This window comes from Homo sapiens, chromosome 15, assembly GCF_000001405.40.
Source record: "Homo sapiens chromosome 15, GRCh38.p14 Primary Assembly".
Taxonomy (NCBI): Eukaryota; Metazoa; Chordata; class Mammalia; order Primates; family Hominidae; genus Homo; species Homo sapiens.
Window position 1 is genome coordinate 67520974 of NC_000015.10, and position 18546 is coordinate 67539519.

Consider the following 18546-nt stretch of genomic DNA (forward strand, 5'->3'; position numbering starts at 1 on the left):
GCCCGAGTTACTAATGACGGCGTGAGGTCACACCTGGCCACTCAAAACCAGCTCCTTGACGCAGGTGACCCTCCGCCTCGCGCAGCTCACGCTTCCCATCCCCCGGACTCCACCCCCAGCGGGAGGCCACGGGGCCGCTGTGCGCACGCGCCGCCGCACACCGGGGGCTCTCGGGCACCCGCGCGGCGCCGGTTGGCCTTCCCGGCGCTCGCCCGGGGGCGCGCTTGCGCGCCAGCGGCTGCGGACACCAGCCTGCGTCCCCGGCGCGGCGGGCCATGGAGGCCCTGAGGAGGGCCCACGAGGTCGCGCTCCGCCTGCTGCTGTGTAGGCCGTGGGCCTCGCGCGCCGCCGCCCGCCCCAAGCCCAGCGCCTCGGAGGTGCTGACGCGGCATCTGCTGCAGCGGCGCCTGCCGCACTGGACCTCCTTCTGCGTGCCCTACAGCGCCGTCCGCAACGACCAGTTCGGCCTCTCGCACTTCAACTGGCCGGTGCAGGGCGCCAACTACCACGTCCTGCGCACCGGCTGCTTCCCCTTCATCAAGTACCACTGCTCCAAGGCTCCCTGGCAGGACCTGGCCCGGCAGAACCGCTTCTTCACGGCGCTCAAGGTCGTCAACCTCGGTGAGTGGCGACTGCCGCGCCCACGCGGTGAAGCCCGCCCGGCCGGGACGGCCCCTCAGCCACCGAGCACGTGACGAACGCTCGCAGGCCGGTAGAGTCCCGCGGGAGTCAGCTCTGCCTCCCGGCGCCGGCTTCGCCTGGGGTCCTTTGTACTCCTCGCCCAGGGGGTCCCCAGCTTGCTGAGCTCCTGGCACCCGAAGCCGTTCGCCTGCTGCGGGCGCGTCCTCGGGCCTAGGGAGGGGCGGGTCGCCCTCCTGTCCTGCCCATGTTAACCAGAGTAGACCCCTGGCCTGGGCAGTAAGCCAGGGGGCGTCAGGAAACGCCCCCTAGAAAGTGGCTCTGAAGTTGACATCCGTCCTACTGCATGGCAGGACTCATTCCCGTGAACATCACTTTGCAGCTGCGTTTATGTTGCAATAACTGGAACTACTCTTTTAAGTTTCTTTTGTTTTCTTTGTATGAATTCCCGGCAAGTTCGTTTTACTAAAAGCACCAAAGGTTTTCACCAGACATAACAGCTTCCTGAGGTGCTAGGCCTAAAAGATTTTTAAAGATCTTTAATATTTGTATATTTTCATGGAGACGCCCTGAGGATGTTTACTGTCACTAGGTGTTTATTTTCTTTTGGTTTAATGACAGAAGAGGGAGGTACGAACATGGACATGGGTGTATCTTTTATAGGTCAGGGGAAAACAGAAGGCCTCAAGATGTTTTGAACTTACTAATAGCTGGCATAAAATCAATCTAGATTTCAGTGATTCAAAATCTAGCCATGGAGCTGAATGAACCATGTTACCCAGCCAGGTTTTTAAAGCCAGGATTAAAACTAAACCCTGCGCAGCCGTACTACTAATACTATTACATAATCTGATCGTCCATTAAGGTTAAAAATAGTCTGTGTATTTGTGCTTATAATAACACATATGTCAGTCGTGGGCTTTTTGAGCCGTTACTCCACTGGACTGTCCTGTAAGGAGATAATTGTTTAGCAACGTGTTATCCTTTAAAAATGCCTCTTATTATTTGGCTGATGGACTGTATAGAGCATGCCCACTACTTTGGAGGTTGGTTGAAGTTGAAGGGTGAGGTGACTTAGGAAATTCAATTCGAAATTATTTGGAAAGACTGGAGTGTTAACTAGATTCGAGAAGTATAAGTTTATTTTAGCATTTTTCATAAGTAAGAAATCATTCTTCCCTAAAGAATAATAGGTTAGGAAAAGCATAACGGGAGAGTTATAGGTAAACCATGAGCCAAATGCCTTTTTTTCCTTTAAAGTCACATTTTTAGTGTTGACATTTTGTTTAAGAGCACCTTAATGATTAGGGGCCTCTCTTTTAGATTTAGAGATTAAGACATCCAAAAAAAGTGGATACTCAGAACATTCCACACATAGAAAAGTAAAACCTTTTAAAGTTGAAAGAAACAACAGTTGTAGTGTTTTTTGTTTTGTTTTGTTTATTAATGTGGGAGAGTGATTTAATGGTCTGTATGGTCTTTTGGACATTCTAAAAATCCTGCTAAAATGGGAGTAAGAGTTCTAAGTTAAGCAAAAAGGACAACTTTTTGCTCATGCATGCTTTAATACAAATTGGGATATACTGATAAAGGGAATTAAAAAATATTTTAAAGTGGTGAACACATCTGGTAACGTTTATTTTTAATTTTTGTCTGAAGGTAGAGGGGATGTGAATTAGATAATAGGTCCTTTCCTATTCTGTGAGGTACAATCGTCTCTCTGGGTGATAAAGTACATATCCTATTAATATTATACTTAGGATTTTGTTCCTCTTCTTCCCTTCCAAATTCATTTTTCCATTTTGTAAATAATAAAGATTTCTGTTTACCCATTTGCTCCTTTTCTCCTCCGTCTTCCCTTCAATGGAAGCTGACATTTTACTGATGGTTTACCAGTCTAGGTATCCTGCTGAGAAGTAGATTGAGATTTAAGAAAAGCAACTTACCATTGGAATGAATGAGATTTACTGAGGAATTCTAATTTTTTAAAGTGCTTAATTTGACAGTGGTTTACCTACTGTTCAGCTGACTCAAAGTGAATTATTATGCAAAGAACTGATTTGGAGGTTCTTTTGATGTTACATGTTTCAGATATAAATTTAATTTTTCAGAAAAAATTGAATTTTTCATAGAATCTTATAGACTTCAAAGCATGTGTGCTACAAAGATTTTGTAATATATAAGTTATATAGGTGGCAAACCTTCCCATTTTGAGTATTAGTCTGACTGCATTAAATAAACAGACAGCAAGGGGAAAAAAATACAGAATTTCTGACTCAGATCATAACTCCATCTCCTGTCAAACAGCATCACTGCTAATGGTTGCTGGTTATTTTTTAATAAGACATAATATAGTTATTAAGCTAGTAATCTTTGATCAGCCCTTGATTTTAGCTGAAAATATATTGACCGTTTATTTCTGTATTTGTGATTTTTCAAAAGTATGAATTTTTTAAATCAATATGTTAACTGAAAACTATGATAAATACTATAAAAGAAAATTGTCAGTGTCACCAGGTATTCCTTAAATTTATATACTTAGCCTTGGTTTAAGAGGCCTATTTTATGTATTTTAGTCTCAGTATGCTTAGAAAATTAGTAATTGCTTCTAGAGCCTATTTTTTTTCTTCCTCACTCCATTGATTTTCAGCTTTGAAGTTGTGATATTGCATTTTAAATTTATTTTTTATTTCAACTACTCCCTATACTTCACTCTCATTTCTGCCTAGCTTGTTCATATTCTTCTTTTTCTACCTCCCACCCCTGAGCCACTTGCCTTTTTTTTTCTTTGTGGTTAAATGATTTATAAGTAGCTTTATTATTCTAGTTTTTGTGGATTTTTTTATGACATTCCCTTGAGGTATTCAGAGATTCTTTTGGACATTATCAGGGCAAAGAAGGTGATACACTATAAAAGGTTTCATGGGAGTTCCAGGGAACCCTGTGATGGTGACAAACTGTGACCCAGTATATTCCTAAAAATAGAGAGATGCCAGCCTGAATGGGCATTTTTTTCCCCTTCTCATTACCAGCTAGTGATGTGATGCTTCTCCTGATTAATCTCTGGCATCACAGTGGCTGGAATGAAGCTTCAGGGAGTAAGCACAAAGTGGTTCAGCAAACACACTCAAAAAGAGCTTAACACAGCAAATATATTCTTGCAGAAAAATAAGACCAAAATTTAGCAATATGATTAGTCCAGAGCATGTGTTGCTTTTTTGTTTGTTTTTTTTTTTTTTTTTTGAGATGGAGTCTCCCTCTGTCGCCAGGCTGGAGTGCAGTGGTGTGATCTCGGCTCAGTGCAACCTCTGCCTCCTGGGCTCAAGCAATTCTCCTGCCTCAGCCTCCTGAGTGGCTGGGATTATAGGCATGCGCCATCACGCCCAGCTAATTTTGTATTTTTTGTAGAGACGGGGTTTCTCCATGTTGGTCAGGCTGGTCTCGAACTCCCAACCTCAGGTGATCCGCCTGCTTCGGCCTCCCAAAGTGCTGGGATTACAGGCGTGAGCCACAGTGCCCAGCCGCGTTCTTTATTACTAGAAAGAAAGTGATTTTCCAAATGTACAGCTATCCTTTTAAAGTGTCACTTTCTGCCCATTTCCCACATAAGAGCATAAAATTAATGCTTGTCCAGAGCATACAGTATTTGTTATTGATTCATGTGCCTATGGTTTTATTACATATGTTTTTAATATGTTAGTAGTCATTAATTTTAAATAAGTACCTTTAAAAAGATAGGAATTGTGAAAGTTTGTTTTGTGCCAACAGTCTTATATGCATGTGAGTGCTTAATACATATCTCTGGATAGTGTGTTTAGTTTCATGTATCACAAATGGCAACTAATCTCAAAGCAGCAAAATCTTATCAATTCCAAAGAAGAAACACATGTTGGAGTCTACTATATATCTATTTCAAATTGGTTGAAATGAGGTTGTTTTCAGATCAATTGAAAAAATGCTAATAATAGTTTTTTTTCTCATGCCTGTTGTACTGAAATCTTACTTGGAGTTAGGTTTTGCTTTAGATTTTAAAGACAGCTCTTTGACCGAGCTTCTTTTAAGTTGTACAAAAATTACTTCAACCATTAGTGTTACTACTAACTTAAAGAACAGTAATGTTGGCCGGGCGCGGTGGCTCACACCTGTAATCCCAGCACTTTCGGAGGCCTAGGCCCAGGATCACAAGGTCAAGAGATCGAGACCATCCTGGCCAACATGGTGAAACCCCATCTCTACTAAAAAAGTACAAAAATTATCTGAGCGTGGTGGCGCGCGCCTGTAGTCCCAGCTACTCAGGAGGCTGAGGCAGGAGAATCGCTTGAACCCAGGAGGCGGAGGTGGCAGCGAGCCGAGATCGCGCCACTGCACTCCAACCTGCCAACAGAGTGAGACTCCATCTCACAAACAAACAAACAAACAGTAGTGTTAACTTAGTAATTTTAGCTCAAGGCTAATAATCAGGAGCGTCTACAACTAAATTAATGAGTATTCTTCTCCATTTTCTTATTTATGAAAAGAATATAGCATTACTTCATGATTATTTGAGGGTAATGAATTTATGAAGTACTCGAATTAACATTTATACCCGCCTTGTCTATAGTATGAAAACCTCTGGACTCACGTGATTGCCATCATGTGCCACGTTGATGAAATTGAGCTCTTAGATAATCAGAGTCAATGTTGATTAATATTTTTATATTTTATCACATTGTAATTTGTTAACATTGCTGAAGAGTGTTATACGTGATCAGTAACTTGCATGATTAATAAGCATTGATGTTTATACATATTCGTTTGTTTTCTAGGTATTCCAACTTTATTATATGGACTTGGCTCCTGGTTATTTGCCAGAGTCACAGAGACTGTGCATACCAGTTATGGACCCATAACAGTTTATTTTCTCAATAAAGAAGATGAAGGTGCCATGTATTGAAAGTGTGCGTCAAAGAACATAAATATCAGTGGATTTTCTCTGTGTATATGTGCAGTATTTATTTTTGATCCTTTAAAATAAAACTTTTGCAAATACTTTTTTCTTTCTACAGTATCTGCTTCTTTAAGATGAATCATTGCCCTCAAGAGGTGAAGCTTTTTATACATCGTTATATATTACATACTCTGTTTAGCTGATGTGAACTACAAACACATGAAGCTTCACACCATTTTTTCCCTAGAACTAGGTTAACCTACAGATAAAAAATGATTACAATGTAATAGATTCTATAGTTAATTAACAATTTAAATCAACTCTGAAGAGAAAATATAGATGCCCACACAAAAGAGAAGGGGGGAAAATCTTTTATGTAACAATGGAAAAAGAAGTAGAAGACATTAGGATGTATGATGGAAATATTACATCATTGGCAAATCCAAAATTGATGAGAATCTAATTGTAATCTCAAGTCTAAACCATTCAGCTGCCAGGATTGTAAATAGAAACGTTTTAAAGGCCTTGTGCCATTTACCTGGAGGAGGGGTTGGAGTGTAATGTTGAAACTTCTTGTTGCTTAAAGAGTCCAAAACCATATCGTTTGTAAAATGTAATAATAACTGGTTAATATAAGTGTAGCAAGGTGAATGAAACTCAGACTTATTAAAAGTTAAAACAGCTTTCCTATAAAGCTGTAAGAACAATTAAGATCTTCTAGAAAGATGCAGAAAAATAAATTTGGTAACTGTTTATAAAAGCAATTAACTGAAATGGTACATATCCATAGACTTATTGGCAATAAGGAGTGGGCTGAAATTTTAAAGACCTAATGGCACTTTTGCATTTGAATTTTATTAACTTAATTGCATTTTTGAAAGCCAAGTCATTTAAAAAAATGTATCCTTGGGGTAGTCACAAAATACCCAGATGAATGGTAAATTTCAGACATTTGGAGTAATTTAGGGAGAACTAAGTAGAACTATTTAATTTCTAAACCAATGGGTGTTTAAGATTTATGATCTCTCCCATAATTACAAACATACATTATATATCATTTTATGTTAATGTGTTGCTGATACTCTGCAACACTTACACATTTTTGTAGCAAAACATTTTATAAAATTCAACATTTGGATGCTTATGTCAAGTCAGTAGAGAAAGTGAGTGGAAGTGACTGAGGTGAAGGCACCAGAATAATGAAGTAATACAAACTAGCTTCGTTAAAGGTAGTCATTTTAAATGATCTACAGAGTGAACTGTTCTTCAAATATATGTGGTGTTCACTTGTCTAAAAGCAATTCTAAGTAACACTTTAATCAAAGAAGTACTTATGCCAATATATTTAGTCCAGAAGAATATACTTGACACTAGTTAAATGAATGGCTTACACAAAGGAGATAGTGTTACATTAAGCTTCATTAATAATAAAACAACTGGCTATTAGCATTTTGCAGGGAAGGCTAGAACTGATTTCCTCTGTAATGGGCAAAGTTAAATAACTATAGCTCATAAGTTTTAAGTCAAATACTGCTCATTCATTGCTGCTGGTCTTGTCAATAGTGGCTGTAAAGGTTTGGTCCCAACACAAGGCTGATAAAATGGTCTTTAATTACCAGACTATAAATACAGCTTTTCAGTAGAGTTGCACCTCTTTTCACACTGGCCTGTTTGATTTCTGATAATTTGTACTGCTGACTCTGCTTACCTGTTTTTCAATAGCTATAGTCAGTGTGACTTCTTGCCCATATGTGATAGGTAAGTGTCCTTGGAGAACATCTTTGACAAACTACCCTATTGATCTCTGTAATTCTCTGCTGCTTGCAGCATTAAACAGGGCCTTGATTTCTTGTCTGATGTGCTCACTGTATAACAAGTAAATGTAATATTTTCTTGTATTACATGAAAATCAATAGACCTCTTGCTCTTACGGAGTTGATCATGGTGAAGGATGAACTAACTCAACAATGGGTAAAGGCGTGGTTTAAAAATTTAAATATCATTCATTGGATTTATTAAGTCTTGTAAACTTGTAGTCTGAAAACAATACTTCCCATTGAACAGCAATGGTTTAAGTTTTTTCTTTAAAGCTGCATATTACACCAAAGTATTATGGCCTGAAAGGGAGAAAGTATAAATGTGTAAGTCAGGAGACTGAGTCTATTTTTAGTATTGGTGCTGTCTTACTTTTTGACCTCAGGCTAATAACTCTCCTCCTTTGTGTCTTGGTTTTTCCACCTGTAATCTGAGAAGAACGAAACAAGAGACATTTCTACCCGAAAATGTACATCAATTTTACTTTTGTCTCTGCAAAAGCTCTGTTTTTATAATCCACATTCTTCTGCTCCATTATACTTAAAGGACTTCATTAATTAAAAAATTTCAAAAATAAGGTGATGGAGAAAGAAGGAGAGATGCATTGATAGCACATGCCCACTAACCCTGAAGTGGCATGTGGGGAGCTGAAGAGGCCCTTCTCTTCTGCATATCAGTAGTTTTCTTAATTGGTGAAACCACTGATTAGCTTTTCTGTCATATTTCTTTGACAGGATTTTTATCTTTAATCCAACCAAAACTGTTTTAATAAAGGTGTACTTTTAGTACAAAACCTTGCATCTCTTCTATTGTTATTTCTATACAAATGAATTATCACGTATTGGAATAAATTTCTAGGCAAATTCCTAGGCAAAATTCTTAGTTCCTGTGTAAGTTGTGAGCCACTATAAAGATGCAGTAACCTATTTGGGAGCGTGAGAGAGGCTGCTAATACAAAAATCTCTATTTTCTTAGTGTTGATGTCCTAAAATGCCAAATTGTAGAAACAGTTATAGTTTACCACACATTTTGGGGCATTAATATTTTTCTAACGTTGACTTCCGTAAAAATTCAAACTTTTCTTTTTGAGAAGGAGTTTCAGTCTTGTTGTCTAGGCTGGAGTGCAATGGTGCGACCTTGGCTCACTGCAACCTCCACCTCCCAGGTCCAAGCGATTCTCCTGTCTCAGCCTCCTGAGTAGCTGGGATTACAGGTATGCACCACCACGCCGGCTAATTTTGTATTTTCTGTACAGACGGTTTCACCATGTTGGTCAGGCTGGTCTTGAACTCCTGATCTCAGGTGATCTGCCGGCCTCGGCCTCCCAAAGTGCTGGGATTACAGGCATGAGCCACCAGGCCTAGCTGAAACATTTGTAATTATTAAAACCGTGTATCTTTTAAAGTACATTTTACTTCATGTCATTTATATTCACCCAAAACTGTAAGCATAGAACATCTATAGTTCTTCATGAAATATCTTTTAACTCTGTTAAAGAATGATGTTTGAATAAGTGGGATGACATAAAAGGCAAAGATCTTGGTTTCACTGCACTGAAAAGCTAATGCAGATAACAGAAACCTTATCCTAAAGCTAGTGGATTAAGTATCTACTGTTACTCAAACAATAATGACATTTGGGGGCATCTTAACCTAAACAAGTACTTAGCATTACATCTCACCTGGGTCAACAGTCTAGAGTATCAGAGTTAAACTCTGTTACTGTAAATTAATGGAAAATGTAACTGCACTTTGCTGAAAGATCAATGTCCAATAAAGGCTGCACGATCAAATCTTGTTGCAATGATTGAGGTCTTTAATCGCCTTTCAAAGATAAGGTGGTAATCAACACAGCTTTAACTGATCTTTTTTACTAGTTCAATTACATGCTAATGACTAGTGCCAAGTCAGAATCTTTAACTACGTATTAAATCTTATGTTAGTAATGAAAAATTACTTAAGCTACACAATCAATAGAACACAAATCTTAATTACTATATTTCACTTTCATATCATTTTCTGTACTTGACAAATGTTTCACCAGGGCTTTCCCAACAATAAGAAGTGTTATTAGTAGTGACCACAGTCCACAGAGTAGTTTTCTAATACAAATTGGAGATCAGATGTGGAATTTTTTTCTCTTTTAATGAAAATGTGGCTAAAACAGTTTCCACAAACACAAGCTTGGCCATTAAAAAAAAAAAAAAAAGGTGGCCGGTCGTGGTGGCTCATGCCTGTAATCCCAGCACTTTCGGAGGCCAAGGTGGGCAGATCATGAGGTTAGGAGATTGAGACCATCCTGGCTAACACGGTGAAACCCCGTCTCTACTAAAAATAAAAAATAAAAAAATTAGCCGGGCATGGTGGCAGGCACCTGTAGTCCCAGCTACTCAGGAGGCTGAGGCAGGAGAATGGCGTGAACTTGGAAGGCGGAGCTTGCAGTGAGCTGCGATCGCGCCACTGCACTCCAGCCTGGGCAATAGAGCGAGACTCTGTCTCAAAAAAAAAAAAAAAAGGCAAAACCACAATTACTTTTGCACCAACCTACAATATTTCAGAAAAGGATAAAGGCAGATGACAAAAGAAAAAATAGACAAATACAACTTCATCAAAATGTAAAATGTTTGTTCTTCAAAGGTCTCTATTAAGAAAATGAAAGACAACCCACAGAATGGGAGAAAATATGTACAAATCATGTATCTGATAAGGGACTTATATCCAGAATATATAAATAACTCTTAAAGCTCAACAACCCAATTGAAAATTTGATTTGAACACATATTTCTCCAAGAAGATATATAAATGGCTAACAAGCACATGAAAAGATGTTCAACTAATCATTAGGAAAATGCAAAGCAAACCCACAACGAGATACCACTTCATATCCACTAGGATGACTGTGATCAAAAAGACAATAGTAAGTGTGGATGAGAATGTGGAGAAAGTGAAAAACTCCTGCATGGCTGGAGGAAATGTAAATTGGTGCAGCTGCTTTGGAAAAGTTTGGCAGCTGCTCAAAATATTAAATACGGAATTACTATATGACCCAGCAATTCTGCTCCTAGGTATAGACCCTAGGGAACTGAAAACATATGTCCACACAAAAACTTGTACATGATTGTTCATATCAGCATTATTCATACTAGCAAAAAGTGGAAACAAAAATATTCATCAGTTGATGAACAGATAACGTAGCACAGTGACACAATGGAATATTACTCATTCAAAAAAGGGATGAAATACTGATACAAGCTATAGCAATGATGAAGCTTAAAAATATTACACTAAGTGAAATAAGCCAGTCATAAAAGATCTCATAAAATTCCATTTATATGAAGTGTTCAGAATAGGCAAATCTACAGAGACAGAAAGTAGATTAGTGGTTGCCTAGGGCTGAAGAGGTTGGGGAGAAATGGGGAGTCACCACTAAGGGGCATGGAGTTTCTTTTGCTGCTGATGAAACTGTTCTAAAATTGATTGTGATATGGTTGCCCAATTCTGATTGTGATATGGTTGCCCAATTCTGATATCGTTGCCCAATTCTGACTATATGCAAACCACTGAATTGTACACTTTAAATGAAAGAAGTGTATGGCATGGGAATTATATCTTAATAAGGCTGTTAAGATTATTAAAGAGAAGAGGACAGGCTGGGCACAGTTGCTCACACCTGTAATCCCAACACTTTGGGAGGCTGAGGGGGGTGGATCGCCTGAGGTTAGGAGTTTGAGACCAGCCTGGCTAACATGGTGAAACCCTATTTCTACTAAAAATACAAAAAATTAGCCGGGCGTGGTGGCACATGCCTGTAATCCCAGCTACTCTGGAGGCTGAGGCAGGAGAATCACTTGAACCTGGGAGCCAGAGGTTTCAGTGAGCCGAGATCATGCCATTGCACTCCAGCTTGGGCAACAACAGTGAAACTCCATCTCAAAAAAAAAAAAAAAAAAGAAAGAAAGAAGAGGACAATGCACAATTAGTGTTTAATTGGTACAGAGTTTGGGTTCTGCAATATGCAAAACGTTCTGTAGATGGATGGTATTGACGGTTGTAGAATAACATCAATGTACATACAACCACTGAATGGTACAGTTAATGGGAGGTTGAGGCAGGAGTATCACTTGTGCCCAAGAGTTCAAAGGCTGCAATGTGGCATGATTGTGCCTGTTAACAGCCACTGCACTCCAGCCTGGGCAACACAGCAAGACCTTGTCTCTAAAAAGAAGAAAAAAAAAAGGTTAAGATAGTAAATATTAGTATTTTACCACAATTAAAAACAATTTTTAAAAATTAGTAAAGGATTCGATGTGAGTATGATAAAATATGACTGCAGGAGGTTAAAAAATATTAGAGATTAAAATAGTTAAAGCAATGTTGACATTTTGTATGTTGCAGTCTTAGAATTTAAAAAATTTTAATTTTGAAACCTAGTTTTATGAAATTTCATTTGGGATCATTTTTAGTAGCATTATGAAAAGGATACATTTGGTTCAAGATTATTTCAGATAAGACCAACGTAAGGCACGTAAAGTGTTAGTAAATGAAAATATCCTTTCTTAGATCCTAGTTGCTGGATAAAGAATATCAGCTACTACTAGTAAGTGGTTTTATGTAGTATTGCTTATGGCTATTTTAGTTGCACTTATATCATTTTAAATACAGTTTATGAACATTGTACTACTCCATTATATTATTAATTTATCTTCGATGATATTTATAGTATCAATTTAAAAGCTGTAAAACTTCATGAAAAGTAGCTTAAACAAGGATTTTGATAAACAAAAGCTTTCAGTTTTAAAAGCAAATCATGGAAACAACTTCTTAAAGAAGATTTGAAGTTTTTGTTGTTGCTGTTGATAGAATTATGAACCTTATAAACTCAGTATTTTTTAGTTAACCTAAATACATAAATCTATTTGAATTCATCTTATGAAAAGAGATATGTCACTAGATATATGATCATTATATGCTTTAGTGATTCATGGACCTTGTTACATCCATGCTTTGTAATGTATGAATTATTTAGCAAGAAAAATCACAATAATTTTGTTGTTACTCAAAAATTTATGGGTTAGCAGAAACAATTACGCAGCCCCTGAAGCTGGTATGTTAAGGTAACATCATTAACACTACGTAGTATAATTTTTTTAGTACTTATTTGACATAACCTTTACTGCTTCTGCAAGAATATATCAGTAATTTTATAACAATCTGTCTGTAAACAGAACATTGAATTTATTAACCACAAAGTGATTCATTTTACTCTATTTTCATATTAGTTCATAATTTAAAATCAGACTTAAAAAGTTGTCTACTCAAACCCTAACGGAAGAATAAAAATATACAAAATAAAAAATTAATACTCTAGCAAATAGATATAAATGTAAAACTCCACTTAAAGTGGATATTTTTATTTCAGAAGATATAGATGTGTAAGAACGAGATGAAAATAGATACCTTTGTTACCTTTTTACACATTGTATCAAGACCCTTGCTATGAGATGACCACCAAAATTTTAGTTTCTTATGTTTTCAAATCTCTAAATTTACAAAATGAAGGAAGCAAGAATTTGAAAGTTTGAATAAAAATCTAGTGTCACTTAATTTTAGATCACATTTCAAAATCAACAGTCATTTATTCATCCAAGAAATACTTTTGCCTTGACGGTGTTGAAGGCACTTGTCAATGTTCCCTTGACAGTGTGGAAATCCTAGTAACTTTCCCTGCCAACAAAATCTAGCAGTTCTAAATCTATTTACAGAGTCCATTCAAGCCATACTGAAAAGACTGCTGTCCACAACTGGGTGAGAAACATGTGTTATGAAGTTTTCTTTCCAGCACTTGTCATATAATAAAGGCTCAATGTTTAATAAATATGTGATGATTCAAAATTAAAAGGAAAACTTGCCTTTGTTTTTAATAGCTTTTTAGAAAACAGGATACTTTAATTGGAGATCATATGGATTCTTTACAAGAACAGCAATAAGTTTTGAAATATTATCTCAGATGTAATGAATTAACTATGTATGCTGAAAGATAAGAGATTGTAATCTTGTTGAATTTCCTTTTGAGGTATTTCAAATGGTGCCACCTGTTTTCTCATACAATAATTTTGCTATTTTAAAATCAAATTTAGAATGATGTGTAGAAGTAAATGAAGTGAAACATGAAACAGAAAGTCCTAGAATCAGTTAGACTTACTCTTTTAAAACAGAACTAGAAGTAATGTGTTAGTAACTAGAAGACAAAAAGAGTGTTTTAATCCTCAGAAAATGGAATGGGTTACCTCCTGAGACAGTGAGTCTTCTGTTGTTGGAGCTGTTCAGAAGCTACATGTCAATTCCTTAGTGAGATGGGTAGGGGGCGGGTAAAATTCTTGAATGGGAAGGGGATTAGATTGGTGATTTTTTAAGTCCACTTTAACTCAGAAATTTTATAATCATTGCTGCATGTCTATGTCTGGTTCCCAACCATGCTATTTAGTTTGGTACTTACCGCTTTTCCAGTATATGTGGAATACAAAGAACCCTGCTTTGAAGAGAAAAGATATGGTTTCAGTTCTTGCTCTACCACTGCTGGTAGAGTAACTTTGAGAAAACTTAGAGCTTTCTAAGTCTTAATGTCTTCATATATACAATAAGAAATGTATCTAACACTTACACAGCATTTACTTGTGCCAGGTCCTCATCTAAGGACCTGGCACATATGAACTCACTTAATCCTCTCATAACGACCCCATGAATTAGGTACGGTTTTTATGTTTATTTTTCAGTTGTGGAAACCAAAGGGTCTTGCCCAAGGCCACGCATGGTAAGTGTTCTTCCCATCTGTCTACAGAGTCCACATTCTCAGCCTCTCCTCTACACTTGTCGTAAGATGCACAAGATAATTTTGTCAGACAATGGATGCGGAAGTGCTTTGTTATTATGATTAGGACTACATATAAAGAAAGTAATATAGATAAGTTTAAACAACAAGAAGAGAGAAAAAATAAAGTTTAAGTGATTTGTAGGAACACCAGTCTACTCTACTGAAAGAAAAACGTGCGGCCGGGCGCAGTGGCTCACGCCTGTAATCCCAACACTTTGGGAGGCCGAGGTGGGCGGATTACGAGGTTAGGAGATCGAGACCATCCTGGCTAACACGGTGAAACCCCGTCTCTACTAAAAAATACAAAAAAATTAGCTGGGCATGGTGGTGACGGGCGCCTGTAGTCCCAGCTACTTGGGAGGCTGAGGCAGGAGAATGGCGTGAACCCGGGAGGCAGAGCTTGCAGTGAGCCTAGATCCCGCCACTGCACGCCAGCCTGGGCGACAGAGCAAGACTCCATCTCAAAAAAAAAAAAAAAGAAGAAGAAGAAAGAAAAATGTGTTATGTAGAAATTATGTCTAATAAAATTTTAAATTAATAAATTAATTCATTTTCGAGTATTTAAAATCCACAGGCTTAGCATATAGTGGTGGTCCATGAATGACCTGTGGAACTGTAATTTCTGCCTCTGTGTGAGTGTACTTTCATTTCCATTCCTGCCGAAACAGAACAGGGCAACTCTCCTGTTACACTTTTGGGAGTTTGTGTTCATTTTTTGTCTGTCTCTTCATAGCCTTTAAAAAAAATTAAAAGGGCTGGGGGCAGTGGCTGACTCCTGTAATCCCAGCACTTTGGGAGGCCGAGGCAGGCAGATCACTTGAAGTCAGGAGTTCCAGACCAGCCTGGCCAATATGGTAAAAACCCATCTCTACTAAAAATACAAAAATTAGCCAGACGTGATGGTGTATGCCTGTAATCCCAGCTACTCAGGAGGCTGAGGCACAAGAATCACTTGAACCTGTGAGCCGGAGGTTGCAGTGAGCGGAGATTGTGCCACTGCATTCCATCTTGGATGACAGAGTGAGACTCCATCTCAAAATTAATAGATATCACGCAACATGAGAATAATTATGTTTATTGTTTTGTTATTGCTATTATACATTATTTTTTCAATCAAAATTTCAAAGACATTGCTGGTGTGTAGAAGGGCAACTTTTTTTTTTTTTGAGACAGGGTGTCACTCTGTCACCCAGGCTGGAGTGCAGTAGTGCAATCATAGCTCACCGTAACCTTGACCTCCCAGGCTCAGGCAGTCCTCCCACCTCACCCTCCTGAGTAGCTGAGACTACAGGCATGTGCCACCATGCCTGGGTAATTTTTGTTTTTTTTGTAGAGACAGGGTTTCACCATGTTGCCCAGGCTGGTCTCGAACCTCTAGGCTTAAGCGATTGGTCTGCCTCGGCCTCCCAAAGTGCTGGGATTACAGGTGTGAGTCACTGCACCTGGCCTATATTCTTTTAAATCAAGATTAATCGACATATATTGGAGTGTCATCTGCAAGGGCCCATACTGGGTGCTGAAGGAGACAGGTGAATTTCCTCTTTTTTTTTTTTTTTTTTTTGAGATGTAGTCTCGCTCTGTTGCCCAGGCTGGAGTGCAGTGGCATGATTTCGGCTTACTGCAATGTCCGCCTCCCGGGTTCAAGTGATTCTCATGCCTCAGCCTCCCGAGTAGCTGGGACTACAGTTGCATGCCACCACGCCTGGCAAATTTTTTGTATTTTTAGTAGAGATGGGGTTTTACCATGTTAGCCAGGATGGTTTCGATCTCCTGACCTTGTGATCCACCTGCCTTGCCCTCCCAAAGTGCTGGGATTACAGGCGTGAGCCACCATGACCGGCCAGGTGAATTTCTTAAACATAGGAGGCAATCAATATTTTAAATAAAATGTACTGTTTAATGGGAGTCTATAATTGTTACTGTGGCAGTCTTGGTAGTGGTGGTGGTGGAAAGGCAAGGGGGCAAGTGATTGATGTTCAAGGCAGGCAGGGGATGCAACATGCAATGGAAGTTGCATTCCTATTACTCAACCTACTCTGCGTTCAAAACTCCCTGTTCAGTCAGCAAATATTATTAAAGTGCCCACTACGTTCCAGATACTCTCTTAGGTACTAGGGATATGGAAGTGAATAAAACACACAATTTCATCCCTTCATGAGTAAAACATGTGGTATGTTAAATAGTGATAAATGGGCAGGGTGTAGTGGTTCACGCCTGTAATCCCAGCACTTTGAGAGACATGCAGATCACTTGAGCCCAGGAATTCAAGACCAACTTGGCCAACATGGTGAAACCCCGTCTCTACTAAGAATACAAAAAAAACAAAAATAGCTGGGCATGGTGGTGCACGCCTGTGGTCCTAGCTACTCAGGGAGTTGAGGTAGGAGGATCGCTTGAGCCCAGGTGGTGGAGGTTGCATTGAGCTGAGATCACACCACTGCACTCCAGCCTGGGTGACAGAGCCAGACCCTGTCTCAAAAACAGAAAGAAAAAAAAAATAGCAATAAGTGCCAGGAGAAAAACACTAGGGAAGAGGATTAGGAATTGTGCATGCCTTCATGCTTGTATCTATGGGTTTGAGGATGGCCTGCAATCTCAATAATGTGCCAAGGGAGAGCCTCAGCAAGAAGGTGACCTTTGAGTCAAGACCTACAGAATGTGAGGTAATGACCCATGCAGATATCTAGGTTAAGAGCAATCCAAGCAGAGGAAATGGCAAATGCAAAGGCCCTGAGGTGGGATGCGGGACATGTTCAAGGCACAGTGAGGAGGAGGCTGGTAGGAGTGAGGGAGATTAGTAGGAAATGAAGTTTGAGAGTTTAGATGGGATGAGGGGCAGAATGTGTAGAGTTTTGTAGGCCAAGAAAAGGATTTTGGCCTTTTTCCTGCACAAGATAAGAAGCTGTTTGGAGAGTTTTAGTCAAACAAGTGACTTGATCTAACTGTGGCAACTGGGTAGATAATACTGTTGGTAGTAGGGGCAAGGGCGAAAACAGAAGATGAAAGAATAGTTTGGACTGGGGTAGTAGCAGTGAAGGTGGTGAGAAAGGCTCAGATTCTGGATTAAGGATTCGATACTGGGATCAGGGTAATAAGAGATGAAAGAAAACCTCTCTGAATTTATAACAGCAAAATGTAATTTTTCTCCTTAAAAAAATAAATCACAACAACAAAATAACCCTATTAAAATGGGCAAAAAAAAAAAAAAAAAAAGCCAGGTGCGGTGGCTTATGCCTGTAATCCCAGCACTTTGGGAGGCCGAGGTGGGCAGATCGCCTGAGGTCAGGAGTTCGAGACCAGCTTGGCCAACATGGTGAAACCCCATCTTTACTAAAAATACAAAAATTAGCTGGGTGTGGTAGTGCACGTCTGTAGTCCCAGCTACTCGAGAGGCTGAGGGAGGAGAATCCCTTGAACCTGGGAGGCGGACGTTGCAGTGAGCTGAGATTGTGCCTCTGTACTCCAGTTTGGGAGATAGAGCAAGACTCTGTCTCAAAAATAAATAAATAAATACACAAAATGGGCAAAAAACTTCAATAGGTATTTCTCCAAAGAAGATATACAAATGAGCAACAAGAATAGGTAAAGATGTTCAACATCACTAATCATTAGAGAAATACAAATTAAAACTACAGTAAGATATCACATTATACCCAACAGGATAGCTACTATAAACAAATATAGAAAATAACCAGTGGTGGTGAAAACATGGAGAAATTGGAACTCTTATGCACTTTTGGTGAGAATGTAAAATGGTACAGCCACTCTGGAAAACAGTATGGTGATTCCTCAAAAAATTAAACATAGAAAATATGATCCAGCAATTCCACTTTTGAGTATACATCCCAAAAAGTCGAAAGGAGAGACAGGAACAGATATTTGTACCCCCATGTTCATATCAGCATTATTCACAATAGCCAAAAGGTGGAAACAACTTAAATGTTCATTGATAGATGAATGGATACACACAATGTGTTATATACACACAACAGAATTTTGTTCAGCTTTGAAAAGGAAGGAAATGGCCAGGGGTGGTGGCTCATGCCTGTAACCCCAGCACTTTGGGAGGCCAAGGTGGGTGGATCACCTGAGGTCAGGAGTTCGAGACCAATCTGGCCAACATGGTGAAACCCTGTCTCTACTAAAAATACAAAAATTAGCCTTGTGTGGTGGTGGGCACCTGTAATCCCAGCTACTTGGGAGGCTGAAGTGGGAGAATTGCTTGAACCCAGGAGGTGGAGCCTAGATCATGCCACTACACTCCAGTGTTGATGACACAGCAAGAGTACATCTTA

General features: G+C 39.2%; 1 protein-coding gene and 1 long non-coding RNA gene across 5 annotated transcripts in view, besides 2 other annotated features; one reads left to right on the top strand and one right to left on the bottom strand.

The window, feature by feature from the left end:
- The window catches only part of IQCH-AS1 (IQCH antisense RNA 1), a 118234-nt gene extending 117363 nt beyond the window's left edge, over positions 1-871 (bottom strand). Inside the window, exon 1 of one of the 4 annotated variants that reach the window (NR_040051.1) lies at positions 573-871. This is a non-coding gene — a long non-coding RNA (IQCH antisense RNA 1). Of the gene's footprint in view, positions 1-33; positions 90-520 lie in introns of those variants that run through there. The other 3 variants (NR_040052.1, NR_040054.1, NR_040056.1) reach the window with 3 other exon arrangements.
- Positions 5-354: a silencer, noted in NCBI's record as "silent region_6578". NCBI's record gives its function as "represses an Ori minimal core promoter by ATAC-STARR-seq in GM12878 lymphoblastoid cells {active_cell/tissue: GM12878}" and the evidence as "EXISTENCE:reporter gene assay evidence [ECO:0000049][PMID:35858748]".
- C15orf61 (chromosome 15 open reading frame 61) lies at positions 158-9173 on the top strand. Its single transcript, NM_001143936.2, has 2 exons — positions 158-621; positions 5445-9173. Exons 1-2 carry the CDS (start codon positions 276-278, stop codon positions 5570-5572), a joined length of 474 nt encoding a protein of 157 aa, NP_001137408.1. The 5' UTR covers positions 158-275; the 3' UTR covers positions 5573-9173.
- Positions 465-584: an enhancer, noted in NCBI's record as "active region_9630". NCBI's record gives its function as "activates an Ori minimal core promoter by ATAC-STARR-seq in GM12878 lymphoblastoid cells {active_cell/tissue: GM12878}" and the evidence as "EXISTENCE:reporter gene assay evidence [ECO:0000049][PMID:35858748]".